Below are 18,200 nucleotides of genomic sequence, written 5' to 3'. Positions count from 1 at the left end.
TATGATGTAACCTCTAACCCTACTATAATGGGAAGATGTATTTTCGCTCTATGGGTAATATATCTTCCAATAATTTTCTTTATTCTTTAAGGTAGGCACCAAATTTCTGTATTTGCTTTTCCATAATTATTTACATAAGTAGATATTATGAAAGAAATATTTAAAACCATATTCATTTCAGAGGTTAGTACTATTCATATTTATCTCCTTTGTAAATTAAAGTTTTATTTGCCTTCTGTTTGCGCATATTATATTTAGTCTATTGTACCCATTGTCAAGGTATATATAAATTTCTACAATGGGGTATAGAAACTGAGGTCTATTTCTACATCCATGTGAGGTATACTTCTATAATGCTGAGACTAGATACACTTTCCTGAACTCAGATTCTTGACTTCCATAGTGTGTAAAATTCTATATTGGCTCTTCGACTAAGTTTTTTAAGCAAAAAGCAATTAGAATTCCTGCATCTGCTAAACCTCATTGGAGTCTATCAACTTCTTTCTAAATAAATTAGTTGAAAAACTCAAAAAGACACTCTCTTATGATCTGTGCAGACTTTCAGATATATCCTCTTTTACATAGAGGAATCTCTGTTTTTTGTTTTGCTCATTTGGTACCCAAGAGTTTTTACCTTTTTCATTAAAAGTTTATTATGAGCCATATATTTATGCTAGTATGATTAAAATACTGAAGTGTTTCTGAAACTAGCTTTGTTATTAATATGTCACCATAAATGAGTATCGTGTCTTTATAGATACAAAACCACCATGGCACCTATATCATGGAGTACTATTCGAAATTTCATATAAAAATATTCTTTGCAATTATGTTTTGAATTGAGATTCTGTTAATGGCTTTTTCAAAAATCTATTTAATGAAACTTGTTAATCTTACTAGGTGATTATTTTTTACTCACCATCACACCTAGCAAGTGTCTTGCACATAGTAGGTCTAGAGTAAATGTTTGTTTAATGTCCTCAATTGGTGTTTAAAAGCTAATTACACTCTGAGCTTTATTCTTCAAAGTAAAGCAAGATTTTATTTTGTATGTACAATTGAACTAATATTTGTAAGTAATGATTAACAAAAATTTTCAGGTGAATTGATTTATCTGAAGATTTTCAATAGTTGAAATTAATATCAGTTTTTATTTACCAGGTAGTTTAGACTTGACTATTCTAAATAGCCCTCAAATGTTTACCACCTTTTCATGTAACAGTCATCATTTTATTACAAAACAATCTCCAACTTAGAATCAATTATAATTAATATTGTTTTTAGATACACTTTAATTTTCTGAAAGTTTGGTAGATAATTCTGAAATTTAAATTTTGTGTAATCTAAATAAAAATCTTTTTAAGAATCGAGGTCTAATATTTGAAAGGTTTGGTTTGGTTAATCGTGTTTGGCCTCGGAGCTATTTCTTTTGCTATAAAATTGATATCAAATGGCTGTATTTACATTTTTTGAGTAAAACAGCATGCAATTATCAATATAAAAATGCTATCTAAAAGATGCCTTTAGGCATTCTAGGTGTTACCTAAACCTCGTTAACGATTCAGAGTTGAACTATTTTTTTCCATGATGCAGCAATACTGAAAGGTGTTATATTTTGACTTTTCAGAGTATCATCAATATAGTGTGTATTGTAAGGTCCATGTTCTCATTTTTTACTGACACTGAAGATCTGCATCTCTGTTATAATTAAAGTGTGATTAAAGTGACATATTTAGGTGTCTGTTTATAGGCCACATAAGATTATCTGAGTGAAAAGATTCTGGACGTGGAAAAGAGGAAAATCAGTTTTTGAAATGGAAGAGAACCTTGAAAGAAATGCAACATATCTTAGACTGAAAAAAAAGAAGAAATTAAACTGAATTTATAAATACTATTTGGACCAAAGAAGATCACTTTTTAAGATTTAAATGTTTTCCTCTCCAAAAGGGGCCACTGCTTACCAAATCCAGAAACAAGCCCAAGAATATGTTAATTAAGTGCATTGTGTCCCAGAAAGAATGAGGTTGACAAATTCATTTTTTATTCCTTCGATTAATAAACTGTTGGTCTAGTACATCTTAGATTTTTAAAATCTATAATGTGCATATTTACCTCTTGAAACTGTATAGTAACAGTGCCAAGGACCAACATGACCCCATAGGGTGAATCTTATGAAGCTTAACATTCCTGGCGAATTAAACACACAAGCCTCGGATCACTTTTTGTCAGCCTTATTTTACTGCGGCGCTTGAGAGCCAGAAGGTAGGTAAATTTTATATGGTGGCACTTTACCCCAATTAAAAAAGCAATGATCGTTGGTGCAAGCAGAAGTGGAAAATATAATGACATAAAATTAAAGAAAGGTATCACAAAGACTGACCAGGAATGCTACTTGTCCCTCTCCATCCCCACCCCCATTCATGCCCTTTTTCCATCCATTTGTTGTTTTTCTCACAAGAATACATGACTCCTAAGAATCTTTTTACTTTAAATGAAACAAAAAATATCTGAAACAGTGAATGATGTAAAACGATTCACCTTCTACTATCAACTACATAACAGATAATCATGTAAAGCTATTCTAAATATTCAAAGACAAACAAAAAATGTAAATTGATGGGGGGAACTGTGGGAGGATGAGTGTGGAACGAATGAATAGATTGAAAATACTTGATTTTCAACAGCGATTTTTTTTTCTGTTCAAACCTTTCCATAGTTACGCCTCAAATGATATCTTACATAAGAATTTCTCCCTATATCTCGAAATAACTGAATGATTTCCATGAGGAAATGCAAGTTTAGAAAGAAGACCCGCAAAATGAAAGTGTTAAAATGCAAGCAACTTCTACAGCATTTCAAATGCAAAAATACAACAATCACTACCTTTAACTGACTCTTAAGGGGTCTTTTCAAACAGATGCTATTTATGAGCATCATCTGTTAACTCCTTTCTTGTAATTCAAAACTCTGTCAAATGATGTTTTCATGATGACGTGTAAATATAATATTCCATTAAAGATCAATTCTAATTGGTTTTTTAAAATCTACCTTGGGAAACAGTGCTTCATAACACACAGACTACTAATGAGTATTTTAGAAGGAATTTCCGCAAAGTCTATCATAAACCTAAGTCGAAATTACTCTCTTGCCCTAGTAAGGTTTGGACCACAGGATTGAAATTATTTTTTCTTGGCCTTTCACGCACGATGACTTTGGTCTTGTCGACAAGACTCGCAAGCACTTGTTGGAAATCTTCATTTAAAAAAAAACAACTGTGACGTTGGCCAGAAATATTTCTTCCATATGCCTCACAAAGGAAAACAGACAGAGTTTATTAAGTGGATTGCAATTATTTGTTTCCAAAACGTGGCTTAAAAGCAAATTAAACGTTTTTCCCTTTTGAAATTCCCTATTTTGAAAACGCACTTCACGTTAAAGGAAGCCCGTTTTTGAAAGGGCTAGCTCAGCCTTTCCTTTTAAAACTAGACTTTCTGTGTACAAAGAAGAGCTGAGTAATCAGTAATAAGGATAGCGAAACGTGCTTTTCCGAATTCCTTTGAACCTTTTTTTAAATGGATTTTTGAATCCATACTTTTCAAGATATTTCAAATATTATATAATCTACTGTAACTTTCCGGATCCAGAATAATAACTGCCCACGGGTGTCTCTTATCTATTTATCACTTTATAAACATATCTATGTTGCTTTCCCTTTTTCTCATAACGTGTGCGTTGCAGGCTCGCCCGGCTTCCTTCAATTTCGCAGCACGCTGTAAAGGCTCCTTCCTCCGAGGTCTTCAGCTGGGAACCCCTCGCTGGCTGAGTCTGACCATCAAAACTTGCCGCGCCGGCCCGACCCGACCCGGCCGGAGCTCAGGAGCCCGGGGAGGCGCCGACGGGGGTCGGGTTGGCCCGCGGGGCCCCTCCCTCGGTCAGGACGTGCTCGGCTAACAGCGGTGCTAGGGCAGAACAATGGGGGCGGCCCGGCGGGCGCGAGGAGCCAGGTCCCGCTTCCTCCGGCGCGCCGGCCCCGCGCCCGGCCCCCGCCCCCCGAGGCCTTCCCCGCCTGCCTCTTCGCGCTCGCCAGTCCCGCCGCGCCTTCCTCCAGCTGCCCGGCCCGGCGCACGCCCCGCCGCCCGCACGCCTTCTTCCCCGCCCGGACCTAGCGGGCCCTCCTTCCCCCGATTCCAACCCACTGCGCTTCCTCCCAAGACTCCAGCTTCTTCCCCTCAGCCGCCGCCTTCGCGCCCTTTTCTGAATGTATTTTTACAATTTCCCCCTTCATTTCCAAAAGTGGCTGAGAAGTCTCGCTTCCATCTTAATGTTGATTTGCTATTTCCCTCCGGAAAAGATTTCCTCAGGAAACCCCAAATCTAGAAGGAAATACAGCAAACCCTAGAACGCTTTTAACCCTTAAGACATCTTGTATTAAAAGAAAAAAAAAGCATGTATGTCTTAAAACCGGCCAAAGAACCATCTCCTCGCTCTTTATTTCCTCCTGTAAATGCTATTATTTTAAACTCTCCATTTTAAACTCGTCCTTCGGACGAGAGGGCAGAGAATGTGCCCGGCAGCACGCAGCAAATCAGAGGTTTTATCTTACGCCTCCTGGGACTGGGAAAAAAAGTGGAACGTGGCCGAGGGAGCTTCCAGGGCAGAAAAGCGACACAATTCGCTGGGGACGCCGCTGGGCCAGGCCAGGCGGGGGAGGCGCGGCGGGGGCGTCGAGGGCTCTCGGGCTCCGGGCCGGGGCGCCGCTGCGAGGAGGGGAGGCGGTTTTAAGTCATGGGGGCTGGGAGGGCGGCGGCGGGTCGGGCGTGACGAGACTTTCGGAGGCAGGATGGGGCGGCGGTGGAGTTGCCTGGGCTTTCTCAGCACCCCCCCCAACACACCCAAATAAAAAAAGGAAAGTTAGAAGGAGGCGGAGAGGAGGACAGCCATCCCCATTTCCTCCCCGCGACGCCGCGGAAGGGCTGGGGCCGCTGCGAGCAGAGAGAGGGCGCGGGATGAGGCGGGCCAATCGCAGTCAACAGGTCCAGGCCTCAGTGGGGCAGCTGAGCCGGGAGGCCGGCGCCCCCTCCCCTCGGCTCCCCGTCCCTCCCCTCCCTCGCAGGCCCGGCGCGGTAGGGGAGGCCCGGCCCGGCCCTCCCCGCCCCGCGCGGACTCGCTGCGGCCGACTCCGCCGGGGCAGTCGGGGTGGGGGTGGGGCGGGGGTTCCCCGCCGGAGAATCCTCCCCCGGGGCTGGCGGCGGGGGCGGGGAGCGAGAGCCGGGAATGGAGGATTAGGAAGGACTCCAGCTCGGCACGAGCGCGGCCCGCGCGAGGGATCCTGGGTAAAAAGTGGCCGCGCGGCACCGGAGAGCGCGGAGAGGAGCCGGGGTCAGGGGTCACGGCCCTGGAGCCCCGCGTGCAGAGCCCCCCACGTGAACGCAGCGAGCAGGAGGAACCTTTTTGTTTTCGACCGCGCCAGCATGCTCCCCTATTGACCGAGCTGCTTTTCCTGGGCTGCTGGGGAGAGGAGCTCCATTGCGGAGCTCTTAACCCCACCCCCACCTTCCACCGCCAACACACTTCCCAACTCAACCCTTCCTCTCAACTCTCATCCCAGCCCCCCGTCCTGAGCTTGCAATAACGCAGTAAATTTGCTTTAACAACAAGTGGGGGTGGTTGAATTTACTCCTCCCTCTCCTCTCTCCTCCCCTTCCTCTTGCTGCGGTTCTTGACACTACTACAAACCAGGACTATAAACATAAACATGTGTCACTGTAACAGGGCAGGTAATATACGGATTTTGAGGCGGGGTGGGGTGGAGCGGGGCTTGGTCGCCGCTTGGAGGGCAGTAAAAAGTCGCGTTTCACGTGCTCGACGGCTTTGGGGACTCCCGCACACATCGATCCGTTTATATAATGCCGAAGGCACTTGGTCACTTATTCAGCCACGCAGACCCACAAAGCCAGACTTGCGGATAACCAGCGTACCCCAAAGCAAATGCATTTCAATACGAATCCCTCTCCTTTCCCAGCCAGTGCTGCCATTTCTTCTATTAGCAAACAGTAACGTGATACTTGAATCCCCTTTCCTTTTTAAAAATTCTTTTCCAGATAGCCATGAGATCATTTTTCGACCTAAATAGTACATCTCTCCCATAGCCACTACCTACACATTTTGTGCGCAGAAACCCCTTCAAACAGCAAGAAAGTCTATTTAAATGACTGAGTTCGAAATCTGGTGTGCAAAGGGTATTTCTTGGGCTTTGCCTCCGTGCATTGAGCAACTTCTGCTGCAAGTTGCTGACACTGGCGCGGTGGAGATCCGCCACAGCAAGCCTTTTTTATTATTATTTAGTCTATATCTGCCTCTCAACTTTTTTCTCATTCTTAGTTCAACAAGCCAGCAACCACTACTTAAGGTAGAGTAAAGCGAATCCCTTCCCAAGCTTTTTGGCTTGAAACGGAGGGAGATACAGAAAATGTTCAGATGGGGAAGTGGTTCCCTTTGTTCTTTCATTGTTTCTCTACGAACTGGTGGATACAAGGACAAACACTTACCTTCTCTTCTTTTTGCTCCACAAACCAGACGTTCCCATCAGCCTTAAAATACACAATCCACCTTGAAAGTAACTACGGATGTCGGGAGAGTTTGTATTCCATTCTTTTTCGCTCTCTGCCCTCTTTTAGCGTAGGATTAAGTTGCAGAGCACGTTGCTGCAAGCTGTAGCCCCCCCCCCCCCCCGCCTTAGTGAATCGGTCACGTTTAGGACCCTCTAAGTCCATCCTAATTCTGCCAGTAGAATTGAGGGTATTGGAGCTCTAAACTTTCAAAAGGAAAGGGGCCTGCAACTCTCCAGAAAACTTACAAATACCCCGAAATTTTTTACCATTGTGTTTTTGCACCACATCACCAAATAGTATTTGCCAAGAAATAATAGATATGTCTTTGAGAAAAAAAAATTTTTTTAAGTTTATACTTAGCAATGCGCTGCTTAGACAGATGTAGTAAAAGGCAGGTTTGTATCGGCATTTAACGGAATGAGTGCGTTTTCCATAACGTTTGTTGTGCCATGTGTTTTTTTAAAACACAAACAAAACACTACCCCAACTGAGAAAGGAAATAGAAGTTTGAATTAAAATGTTGTGGAACAACTTTAAAAGAGACGTTTACTTGAAATTTATTAGTGTAAAAATTGGCCTCAGAAGTGAAAAGTAAGCTTTTCAAAGTTAAAAGACTTAATTTTCACCCTATGATTCCATAACAAAAAAGCGAATTTTCTGGTTAATATGTGATACTGTCAGTGTTGAGTGTCCAGTCTTTTGGGTCTTAGTGTCCAAACCTTGCTCAAATCTGATTATGATGTGATTTGCTGATGTCATGAATATGAAATGATACTTGTGTATCCATAAATTCGAACTTGTGATTTTTTTTTTTTTTTTTTTATCTCCCGCTTTTTTGTAGGTTCCCAGTAGCTGCAGCAGTGAAAGACAGTGATTGGCTCCAGTGCTCCCAGAAGGATTTGGGCTGAAGCCAGGGGAACAGAACCAGAAGAGGATTCCCTTTCCAGAGACCATCAGGCTCCTCATGTCTTGTCTCTCCTCTCTCCCCTCGTGGTGGCTCAGGATTTCAGTATGGCTGAGCAGCCCATAGGTAGGCCTCAACACTTGGTGTCACCACTTCAGTCTCTATATGTTTGGCCCTTGTGTAAAATAAACAAAAACTTGGGCAACCCTAACAAATTGTGGTTCTGGATATTTGTGTATTATTTAATATCTGAAGGTCAAACTCTACTTTCTCTGATTTTTTTTCTTTTGCATTCAGGATCAATTGTGAAAGGCCCATGTGTCTCATAGGAAAATATTACAACAAAACAAGATAATTGGGGGGAAAGGCGGTTGCAGTAGGAAAAGTGGCTTTTCTTTGATAGCATTTAATTGGAATTAAAAGATTCTTGAGCTGTAAACATTCTTTATTTATTCAGCACACATAAGCAGGCATTGTTTTATCACCATCATAATTATGGTGTCCTTTAAACTGGCTGATAGCAGGAAAGATAAGGGAATGTGCCCACAGATTCAGATCAAGTCTCACTCCTTTCTTTTCCTCCCTGCCCCCTTCCCCCCACCCCATTCCTTCCTTGGTCACTAGGGTCCCCCACAGCCCTTGAGATGAGAAGAGCAGGAAGATTGTGGCCTAGCCGTTTCTTACATCATGAAAGTGATTTGTACCTCACTCTAATTTGATGCAATCTATAACCTCCTTGTCTCCTATGTTTATAACTGGTTTTTAGCTTGCAATATATGTTATCTGGAGGTGCCTATTGCTCACCTGTGTAAAATCTCATCCACTAGGATTTGTTGCTTTACCTTTGTCTAATTTAGAAAGCACACTCTTAGGGCTTTTTCAGAACAAAGCCTCACAAAAACCCCTTTACCTCCAAGGATTTGCAAATTTATAAAGGCTGCATTGAATTCAAGATGGGTCAGGGGGCAAAAAAAGGGTAGAAGGTCACTGCATTTTGATTATGGGTCAGTAGACAACATGGCATATACCCTGTGTCCCAAACTTCTGTTAAAGACAGGGTTTTTAAATGCCTAAGAACAGAGGGATGGGCCCTTTTGGAGACTTACCCTGATTTGTTCAAATGAACCAGAAAGAAAAAAAATTAAAGGAAATATACTAAGTTATCATTTGTTTCTCAATTTAGCCATTTTCTACTCCTTCATTCCCATTTTCCCATCCCAAAAAGCAGAGAAGATGTGATATTAGATAAACTTAGCTAAAGAACTGTTGAGATTTTATTGTCTTATATCCTCAACTAATTCAGCCATATGAGACTTTATTATTATTTTAAACTTTTATCTTGTGAATATTATAGTTACTTTTAGTTAATAGCACAAGGGGCTTTTATTCTTTTAACCAGCATACTTACATTGTTGAGGCCTTTGTGATGTTCCTTACTCTTTTCTGTCTGAATTCACTTTGAACAAAATGTGCCCAGCAATCACTAAAACAAACGTATATGGTGAAGAGCTGGTGGCGGGGGGGGGGGGGGGGGGGGGGGGGTGGCTGTGATCCTCATTTAAATTATGTATGTATGGGTGAAAGCTTGGAAGGAAAAGGATTATTTTAATGCTCTTCAATACTTTAATTATATGACAGTTGTAGTGTAGAAATGCAAAAGTACTCTTAGGTTTTCCTTCAGGTTTTCAAAAGAACTTTCCCCATTAGTAAACTACTCCTGCAAATTGCTATTGCATTTCCCAGCTAACCATTTAAAAGACTGTAAATGCCGTGTGCATTACTTCGCTCCAGAGGAAAGAGGTCAGACTGAATTGCAATGGTATTGAAACATAAAATACAGTGAAAATAAATCAAAATAGAGCATCTAAAGGTAAATCTAGCACATTCATATGGGATAAGTAAAGACAAATATGTTCATATTTTCATGGCCCTTCACTTTAAAAACTGAAAGTGCTGATTTTTTACAATAAATGCAGAAGTAAGTGGACATTAGGAATATATTTCAATCTCTATTTGCTAAAGAGGATTTTCCTTTTGCAAGCAGCTTTGTTTTCAAAGCTAAAGCACTTTTTACAATAGTGTGTAGATTAGGCATTCCTCACTGAGTAAATAATCACATTTAATTAAACTCAATGCATATCATACATGTGCCTAAATTCACAATAATTTCCTGGACCCACAGAGAAGGATATATATATATAAATGTTAATTTGGACATATCTATCTACATATGTACTTGCATTTGAGAAACATAGAAGTTGATATATCTTTTCTTAAAAAAATTTGAATACAGTCCATTATCTGAATTGGGTTCATCTTTGATTGTAGAGTCAGCTGACATGGTCAACAAATTTATCAAAGAAACCCCCTGGCTTTTGAAGAATAGTACTTTATACATCTGGATCTGCACATCAGGCAAAGTAAGTAAATTATTGCATAACTTTAAGCATAATTGATAACAGACACCTTTAATTTTTCATCCCCATTCTTTTGGCCAGCTTTCACATTAATAATCTAAGCCATAAATGTTGGTAGCTATTGATCGAAATCCCCGGTGTGCATGCAAATCCATCTTAAAGTCCCCTGCCTTTCATGTGTGAGCGCTCAGGGGCCTCTGCTAGATCTTTTTATCGGGATCGACCCCCAATGTGCCTGGAGAAGACCCCGGATATGCAACGTGTGCTGATGGCCCAAGAAAGCTGTCTGTCACATTCTGTGTTTGTGTGTGTGTGTGTGTGTGTGTGTGTGTGCATGCACTCATTCAAGCAAGAGTGCTGGAGCCTAACACACACATACACACAAGGATGGGGAAGTTAAAGGAACAAAAGAATGTATTAGACACGAAGAAAGATGTGTAATAGTAGTATTAAAAATGTATAAGTGTAAAGGTGTCTGAGTGTACATATAGAGATACTTGCACAAAGTCTATATAGACACATTTCTCAAATTCCCTAGCCTTTATTTTTCTCTATTTCACCCAACAGATTATGCCCTTAGTTAAAAAAAAATAACTTAATATGCTACTAGTTTTCAAAACCACCTATATTGCCAATATTTTAAAGGTGGAAAGAGAGGAAGAGAGAGGAAAAGAAGGTAGTTTTGAAATAGCTACTAAATCATGTTGCTATGTGTAGGAGGACTAGGAGAGAGAGAGAGAGAGAGGAAATATAAACAGGAATGGAGAACAACTAAAACTACCTGGAGAAAAAAAAAAAAGGATGCTCTAGCCAACCTTTTGTACTGTCTTCTCAAAAGCTTTTTCTGAGTTTACTATTTCTTGGCTGACTCTTTGGTCTAATTCTTAAAGCTGGGGGAGGGGAATGGCGGGGGTGGGGGTGGGAGGGCGAGGGCTGGCAGTACTATATAAGTGCATCAGAAGGAATTTTAAAACGACATTATTGTTGCTGGCAATAGAAAGACTCTGGTCATTCTACTTTTAAAAACAAACACCAGCATCTGCTTTTCCTGGAAACTTCGCTTTCTGCCTAAACCTTGTGCATTTTGTCTCCTGTGAAAGTGAAAGAGAAAAACACGGTGTAATAGATCCAGATGCAAAAGAAAGCCAACTCGCTGGATGGTATTAGCTGTGACGAGGCATTGTTCATTGCTGCCTCTCGGTTACGTTTAAAGCCTGAAATATCACGAGATCCATTCAATGATCCTTCTTTCATTCAAGGGACAAAAATGTAATTTGCTGTAGCTCTGATTTCTTGGATGGAAATGCTAGCCTTAGATTTCAAAGGCAAGAACTAGACATCGCGGTTTGTACATACATTGATTAAGTTGAAGAGCGGCGATTACATCTGTGCTGAGTGCAACAGTAGTTCAGGGGCTGACTTTTCAAATCCCAACCTCCTGAGTTACAGACTCTCTTAAATAGACTTCCTTAATTTCCGGATGCACTTCTTGAAATTCCCAATTCTTTTCAAAATTCCTGGGAAATTACAAAGGAGATGAGGGTGGGGGTGGGGAATTATGGCCGAGATTTCATCTTGTCAGGCAAACTACCTTTTTGTATGTCTGATTCCTCAGTTTTTATCTTTGTTTTCTTTTTTGAGCCATACCTGCTCGTGCCATCCAGACCAGAGCAGGGGAAGCTGGGACTTTTGAATGTGAAAAAAGAAATTACTGTATAATTTTTTTCTTGCAGGCTCAGAAATATCCGTTTATTCTTTTAATCACGCGGATGTGTCTATTTTTGGAGGAACAAGGAAACACATAAATGCCTGGGTTGCATTTATGTTGTAGTTGCAAACACTGAACAGTTAAGAAGATTTTGCCGAATTTTGCAAAGCAGCCAAGGAGCCGCCTTGGGATCGTGGTAATGCGACTGGGAGGACCCTTGCTCTCATTTGGCAATATTTTGGATATCCTTGAAAACGACACCAAAATTTGCCTTAATTTGACTAAGAAGAGGTTAAACCACATTGATTTTCATCCAAAGTGATTTTGTTAAAGCAGATGCTTGACTTTGATGGAAAAACTGGGAGTTGTGGAAGATTTACCTAAACTACCAACCAAAAGCATCACAAACCACTGAAACAGTCTGCATCGTACATCAGCACTTTCTTTTCATTGTTATTACGTAAAACCTCTGGAAGCACCTTGGGCGTTTGACAGTTTCTTTTCTTTGCTGCAGAAGGAAGCAATCTGCTCCCTGGAATTCTGACCTGTGGTGAACAGGACCCTGGCAAAGGCTTTGCTGGGGACTCTTGGACGATCCCGCCTCCAATCCAGTACGGTTAATTGTGGAAAAGTGTACACATTTCTGGCTTATCTATGCTTTGTTATGGGTCTGACGTGAAACTACCTCCTCCCCACCCCACCCCCCAGCAGAGAACCGAAATCCAGTTGAATTGTTACAGTGTTTCGGAGCTGGAGCCTTGAACTGCTTCCTTGGTCAAATAACTTTGTTTCTGGTTGTAAAAAGGCATTTCAGGAAAAAAAAAAAAAAAAAAGGAAAATCGAGAGAAATTCCAAACGTAAGTCCGCACTGGGGTGGTTCACGGGGCGGGTTTAACTTTGGAGCTCCCAGCCGGTCTCCTTCCCCACTCCTGTAAGGGAAATACCAGGCTATTCTGCACATTTTCCCTTAAGCTCCATTTTCCAAAAGGAAAAGGGGGTGGGGTATCTCTCTTTCGGCTTGATAATGTTTTTTAAATGCTTTTCTTTGAAATGATAATAGCTGTATCGGTAAAATGCAAATAAACGAAAAAAATAGGCAGTATTTCTTTAAAGGCGAATATACGGTGCGGTTTTTTTTTTTTTCTCCCTTAAGCGTACACACACTGCTTCTGATGAAGTCTGTGAGTCAGGCTGTTTCTGAGCTCCGATAGTTTAATGGAAAGATTTATATACCGACTGTATTATTTACTTTGGGAGGGGAGGTGGCAGTATAAGGGTATGCTAATTAGTGGGAGATTTTGGGGGGAAGGGGTGGAATATCAATTTTTATTGCATCACCTGTCAGGAGTGTCCAATCAGCGCTGGCTTTAGGGGAATTAATTGATGAAGGTGTCTCCGGACGAGCTCACTTCACTCTGTCATTTTATTTGTAGCTAAAGCAGCGGCGGGAATAGCAGCTGCATTTCTTTTCTCTTTCTCCCTTCACATTCCATTATCATAGTGCTCCAATGGAGAAGGAAGGAATAGAGGGGCCCAGGTACTGATCTGCATCGGGGACTCAGACCAACACACTGGCAGATCAGAAACCGGATGGTTTTTTCCCTCTTTTTTAAAAAAACGAAAACAACAACAACAAAAAAGCAAGAATCAAGTCAGTGTAATTTCATGGGGTTTCCCCCCCCCCAATAATTTCGCCTAGAGTTTGGCACTTCCTTCGCCGGGAATAACAGTCTTTGTTATTTTATTAGCAGGATGCCTTGAGACACACGCAGCATCTGGCTGAGGATTAACATACATACATGTGTATGTATGCGTCACGTATATATTTACTGCAAATGGTGGGGATCATTTAGTGCCCGAGATGGGAGACCTGAAGTCAGGTTTTGAAGAGGTGGATGGCGTGAGGCTCGGCTACCTCATCATTAAAGGGAAGCAAATGTTTGCCCTCTCCCAAGTCTTCACAGATCTGCTGAAAAACATCCCGAGGACGACCGTGCACAAGCGCATGGATCATCTGAAAGTGAAGAAGCACCACTGCGATCTGGAGGAGTTGCGGAAACTCAAGGCAATTAACAGCATCGCCTTCCACGCCGCCAAATGCACGCTCATCTCCCGGGAAGACGTGGAAGCGCTCTACACCTCCTGCAAAACCGAGCGCGTCCTCAAGACCAAGCGCAGGCGGGTCGGCCGGGCCCTGGCCACAAAGGCGCCGCCGCCAGAGCGCGCCGCTGCCGCCAGCCCCCGCCCGGGATTTTGGAAGGACAAGCACCAACTTTGGCGGGGCCTGAGCGGAGCCGCGCGGCCCCTGCCAATCAGCGCGCAGTCCCAGCGCCCGGGCGCCGCCGCCGCGCGCCCCGCCGCCCATCTACCTCAGATTTTTAGCAAATACCCCGGCTCGCACTACCCGGAGATCGTGCGCTCGCCGTGCAAACCCCCTCTAAACTATGAAACTGCCCCGCTCCAGGGAAACTACGTCGCCTTCCCCTCGGACCCTGCTTATTTTCGGAGCCTGCTGTGCAGCAAACACCCGGCAGCCGCCGCCGCCGCCGCCGCCGCCGCTGCTGCCGCCGCCGCCGCCGCCGCCGCCGCCGCCTATTACCAGGTATCGGCGGCCGGGCCCCAGCCCAAGGCAGCGGCGGGCGCCGGAGGCCCGGGGAGCCTGAGCTACCGCTGCAAGCGCAAGCGCGGCGGCGCCAAGGACTGCCTGCTCGCGCCTCACGCCGGCGCGCGGCGCCTGCTGCTGTTGCCCAGGTCCTACAAAGCCAAGGCGGCGGCGGCGGCGGCGGCGGCGGCAGCGGCGGCGGCGGCCGCCGCGGGGGCCACTTGCCTGGAGAGGTTTCATCTGGTCAACGGCTTCTGCCCGCCTCCGCACCACCACCACCACCACCACCATCACCACCACCACCACCACCACCGGGCCCAGCCGCCGCAGCAGAGTCACCACCCCCCTCACCACCACCGGCCGCAGCCCCATCTGGGCAGCTTTCCCGAGAGCTGCAGCAGCGACTCCGAGTCCAGCTCCTACTCGGACCACGCGGCCAACGACTCGGATTTTGGCTCCAGTTTGTCCAGCTCCAGCAATTCTGTGTCCTCAGAGGAAGAGGAGGAGGAGGGAGAGGAGGAGGAGGAGGAAGAGGAGGAGGAGGGGGGCAGCGGGGCCTCGGATTCCAGTGAAGTCAGCTCGGAGGAGGAGGACTCGTCCACCGAGTCGGACTCCAGCTCCGGCTCCAGCCAAGTGTCAGTGCAGAGCATCCGATTCAGGCGCACCAGCTTCTGCAAGCCTCCCAGCGTGCAGGCGCAGGCCAACTTCTTGTACCATCTGGCCTCCGCCGCCGCTGCAACCAAACCCGCTGCTTTCGAGGATGCCGGCAGACTTCCCGACCTCAAGAGTAGTGTCAAAGCGGAGTCGCCGGCGGAGTGGAATCTGCAGAGCTGGGCCCCCAAAGCATCTCCGGTGTACTGCCCGGCCAGCCTGGGGAGTTGTTTCGCTGAGATAAGGAACGATAGGGTATCTGAGATTACATTCCCACACTCTGAAATTTCCAATGCTGTAAAGAGAACTGACCTGACAATTAACTGCCTGGCAGAGGGGGCCTCTTCACCTAGCCCAAAGACAAACAATGCATTTCCACAACAAAGAATACTCCGAGAGGCTAGGAAATGCCTACAAACAACTCCTACTACACACTGTGCAGATAACAACACAATAGCTGCTAGGTTCTTAAATAATGATTCTTCAGGAGCAGAAGCAAATTCAGAAAAATATTCCAAAATCCTTCATTGTCCTGAATTTGCTACGGATTTGCCCTCTTCGCAGACTGATCCTGAAGTGAACGCTGCAGGAGCAGCAGCAACTAAAGCCGAGAATCCCTGCACTGACACAGGCGACAAGACATTGCCATTTCTGCACAATATTAAAATCAAAGTAGAAGACAGTAGTGCTAATGAAGAATATGAACCTCACCTTTTTACAAATAAGCTAAAGTGCGAGTGCAATGATACAAAGGGTGAGTTTTACAGTGTGACTGAGAGTAAAGAGGAGGACGCCTTGTTAACCACAGCCAAGGAAGGTTTTGCATGCCCTGAAAAAGAAACTCCTTCCTTAAATCCACTGGCTCAAAGTCAGGGCCTTTCATGCACTTTAGGTTCTCCAAAACCTGAGGATGGGGAATATAAATTTGGTGCCAGGGTGAGAAAAAATTACCGGACACTAGTACTGGGAAAGCGACCTGTCCTTCAGACACCTCCAGTCAAACCAAATTTGAAATCAGCTAGAAGCCCTCGTCCTACAGGTAAAACTGAGACAAATGAAGGAACACTGGATGATTTTACAGTTATAAACAGACGCAAAAAGGTAGCCAGCAATGTAGCATCAGCAGTGAAAAGGCCATTTCATTTCATGGCAAATTTTCCTTGTCCACCATCACTCATTATTGGGAGAGATGGGGATTTGTGGCCGGCGTATTCCTTAAACACCACTAAGGATTCTCAAACTCCTCACAAGGCCCATCCTATATGGAAATGGCAGCTGGGCGGTTCTGCAATACCTCTTCCACCTAGTCACAAATTCAGGAAATTTAATTCATAAAAATGTTTTGGAAGATATTTTCTTGAACCATATTACCTTCCTTTTGTTGTAAACTGCACAGGATGGTTTGTACAAGTCCATTAATGTGTTACACCCCCTTTGGAGTCCTGGTTTATCGCATTTTGAAGACAGAAATCGGATTACTTTTTTTCCGTTGCGGGTTTTTTTTTTTTTTTCTGGAGTAGGGTGGGGGCGGGGTGGGAGAAGGGTTGGTTTACATTCCACAGACTACTTCAGGCTAAAGACTCAAGTAAAACTCAGTTATTACGGTAGAGCTGGAACACTTTACTGTTTCGATGCTAATAATGCACCCGGTACCTCAATTCAACTGCTACAAATAAATGTCAAAAGGTTGAATAATAAATATTACAATGAGCCATTAAGTTTATGCACTAGATTTCAGAGCTGAAAGTGTAACTGTTAATTCAGTGAAAGTTTGTTAGGTTACATGGTTACACAGTGAGGTGAGGTGAGGTAGCAAGAAGTTTCTGTGAGCCCAAAATGTTATTTTCTGGAGCTCTTGTTTGTGGGGTATCTTTTTCTTTTGACTCCCCTTATTCCCTCTCCAAGAGTAGTTGCACTTAACTTTTTTTTTTTTTTTTTAGTGGAAAGATTGGGGTGTGAGTCCTGATTAAATGCTAGTAAAAGCTGCCTCATACATACTGAGTAAAATAAATACGGAATTGTATTTTTTTTGTAAAGGGTGTGATTTTACTTTTAAAGCCACTCCTTTGCAACAGGAAAAGTCTGTTTTGTGTTCTCACCCAAAGGTTTTAAATAAGGTGACTCTTACTATTGTCCTGCTTATCTTGTGGTCTGAACATGACTCTTCAAACTCCCAAAACAATTGAAATATTTCTTTTTTTTTTTTTTTTTTTTTTTGGAGAGAGTCTCGCTGTGTCGCCCAGGCTGGAGTGCAGTGGCACAATCTTGGCTCACTGCAACCTCCACCTCCTGGGTTCAAACGATTCTGCTGCCTCAGCCTCCTGAGTAGCTGGGATTACGGGCGCGTGCCACCATGTCCGGCTAATTTTTGTATTTTTAGTAGAGACGGGGTTTCACCATGTTGACCAGGCTGGTCCCGAACTCCTGACCTCAGGTGATCCGCCTGTCTCGGCCTCCCAAAGTGCTGGGATTAAAGGTGTGATCCACCATGCCCGGGCTGAAATATTTCTCGTAATAGCAGAATATTTCATGGCCGAACTCTTGATAGTGACAAATCAGTAAATACAACCAAGAAAAAGAAAATGAGGGGTCAGAGTTGCAATACCCCAAATGAAAAATAACAGTTTTTTCAGGGCTTTTTGGTACCAGAACTCAGGCACTTGGATTTTATGACCTTATACTTTTTCTGCATCTCTCTAAAACTTGTGTTTTCAGACCATCCTGTGTATAGAGCAGGAGAGTTTCTACTGCAAGTGACAATCAGAGGTGACTATCTATATTTGCACTTAAAATCAAAGTAGTTCAACATGCAAATGCTAGGGTCTAGCCCTGGGTAAGGGCCATGCTGGTGTACTGTGTTGTGATGATGGAAGCAGTAAATCAAAATTATGGAAATTTGCACTGTTGAAAAGCATGCTTTAGCTTTATTTTCAATTAAAAACACTGTTTAAAATTCCTGGTTCCATACATTTCTACTTATTCCAGATTGAAGAACGGTTAACAGGATTGAATGGTTTTGTTGACATTTTCACTTGTAATGTTTTTGCCTGAAAGAAATGCATTTATTGGGTGTAGTGTTTTGTTGTAATACTATGTGACGAGGCCAGTCAGGTTCTGTGCAGAACACTGGTGGATTTCTTTCCAAGCAAGAACAAAACTTTACAAACTTGTTACACATCAAGTAGGAAAAGTTTCAGGCTTAAGAAAGTGAAGCAGAGATCAGTGATTTTTTTAATGAAAGTTGAATCTAATAATTTCTGGCCCACCTCCTTTAGTCTGACAAATTATGTATCTCAGATCCTTGCTA

General features: G+C 43.5%; 1 protein-coding gene across 3 annotated transcripts, besides 11 other annotated features; it reads left to right on the top strand.

The window, feature by feature from the left end:
• Nucleotides 1,743–2,386: an enhancer, noted in NCBI's record as "NANOG-H3K27ac hESC enhancer chr10:21817867-21818510 (GRCh37/hg19 assembly coordinates)". NCBI's record gives its function as "activates a minimal SCP1, AML or CMV promoter by ChIP-STARR-seq in naive H9 embryonic stem cells {active_cell/tissue: H9 hESC(naive)}" and the evidence as "EXISTENCE:reporter gene assay evidence [ECO:0000049][PMID:30033119]".
• Nucleotides 3,705–3,863: a silencer, noted in NCBI's record as "fragment chr10:21816390-21816548 (GRCh37/hg19 assembly coordinates)". NCBI's record gives its function as "represses an EF-1alpha promoter that drives an FKBP-Casp9 reporter gene in an ReSE screen in K562 erythroleukemia cells {active_cell/tissue: K562}" and the evidence as "EXISTENCE:reporter gene assay evidence [ECO:0000049][PMID:32094911]".
• Nucleotides 3,705–4,042: a biological region, named in NCBI's record as "ReSE screen-validated silencer GRCh37_chr10:21816390-21816548".
• Nucleotides 3,723–4,042: a silencer, noted in NCBI's record as "silent region_2193". NCBI's record gives its function as "represses an Ori minimal core promoter by ATAC-STARR-seq in GM12878 lymphoblastoid cells {active_cell/tissue: GM12878}" and the evidence as "EXISTENCE:reporter gene assay evidence [ECO:0000049][PMID:35858748]".
• Nucleotides 4,053–4,172: a silencer, noted in NCBI's record as "silent region_2192". NCBI's record gives its function as "represses an Ori minimal core promoter by ATAC-STARR-seq in GM12878 lymphoblastoid cells {active_cell/tissue: GM12878}" and the evidence as "EXISTENCE:reporter gene assay evidence [ECO:0000049][PMID:35858748]".
• Nucleotides 4,618–4,767: a silencer, noted in NCBI's record as "silent region_2191". NCBI's record gives its function as "represses an Ori minimal core promoter by ATAC-STARR-seq in GM12878 lymphoblastoid cells {active_cell/tissue: GM12878}" and the evidence as "EXISTENCE:reporter gene assay evidence [ECO:0000049][PMID:35858748]".
• Nucleotides 4,888–5,307: a silencer, noted in NCBI's record as "silent region_2190". NCBI's record gives its function as "represses an Ori minimal core promoter by ATAC-STARR-seq in GM12878 lymphoblastoid cells {active_cell/tissue: GM12878}" and the evidence as "EXISTENCE:reporter gene assay evidence [ECO:0000049][PMID:35858748]".
• Nucleotides 4,888–5,606: a biological region, named in NCBI's record as "NANOG-H3K27ac-H3K4me1 hESC enhancer GRCh37_chr10:21814647-21815290".
• Nucleotides 4,963–5,606: an enhancer, noted in NCBI's record as "NANOG-H3K27ac-H3K4me1 hESC enhancer chr10:21814647-21815290 (GRCh37/hg19 assembly coordinates)". NCBI's record gives its function as "activates a minimal SCP1, AML or CMV promoter by ChIP-STARR-seq in naive H9 embryonic stem cells {active_cell/tissue: H9 hESC(naive)}" and the evidence as "EXISTENCE:reporter gene assay evidence [ECO:0000049][PMID:30033119]".
• Nucleotides 5,607–6,250: an enhancer, noted in NCBI's record as "NANOG-H3K27ac-H3K4me1 hESC enhancer chr10:21814003-21814646 (GRCh37/hg19 assembly coordinates)". NCBI's record gives its function as "activates a minimal SCP1, AML or CMV promoter by ChIP-STARR-seq in naive H9 embryonic stem cells {active_cell/tissue: H9 hESC(naive)}" and the evidence as "EXISTENCE:reporter gene assay evidence [ECO:0000049][PMID:30033119]".
• SKIDA1 (SKI/DACH domain containing 1) lies at nucleotides 5,642–17,849 on the top strand. 3 transcript variants are annotated; one of them, NM_207371.4, is made up of 4 exons: nucleotides 5,642–5,777; nucleotides 7,453–7,641; nucleotides 9,844–9,935; nucleotides 11,666–17,849. In NM_207371.4, the coding sequence occupies exon 4, from the start codon at nucleotides 13,502–13,504 to the stop codon at nucleotides 16,226–16,228; it is 2,727 nt and encodes a 908-aa protein (NP_997254.3). In that variant the 5' UTR covers nucleotides 5,642–5,777; nucleotides 7,453–7,641; nucleotides 9,844–9,935; nucleotides 11,666–13,501; the 3' UTR covers nucleotides 16,229–17,849. The 3 variants fall into 3 exon arrangements, with proteins under 3 accessions (NP_997254.3, XP_047281160.1, XP_047281161.1); XM_047425204.1 differs by lacking the exons at nucleotides 5,642–5,777; nucleotides 7,453–7,641; nucleotides 9,844–9,935 and having other exon boundaries at nucleotides 13,048–13,291; nucleotides 13,392–17,849; XM_047425205.1 differs by lacking the exons at nucleotides 5,642–5,777; nucleotides 7,453–7,641; nucleotides 9,844–9,935 and having other exon boundaries at nucleotides 13,048–13,291; nucleotides 13,389–17,849.
• Nucleotides 13,867–14,026: a silencer, noted in NCBI's record as "silent region_2189". NCBI's record gives its function as "represses an Ori minimal core promoter by ATAC-STARR-seq in GM12878 lymphoblastoid cells {active_cell/tissue: GM12878}" and the evidence as "EXISTENCE:reporter gene assay evidence [ECO:0000049][PMID:35858748]".
• Nucleotides 17,850–18,200: the final 351 nt, after the last annotated feature.

The sequence above is a fragment of the Homo sapiens genome, chromosome 10, assembly GCF_000001405.40.
Source record: "Homo sapiens chromosome 10, GRCh38.p14 Primary Assembly".
Taxonomy (NCBI): Eukaryota; Metazoa; Chordata; class Mammalia; order Primates; family Hominidae; genus Homo; species Homo sapiens.
This window is presented reverse-complemented; position numbering and strand designations above follow the sequence as displayed.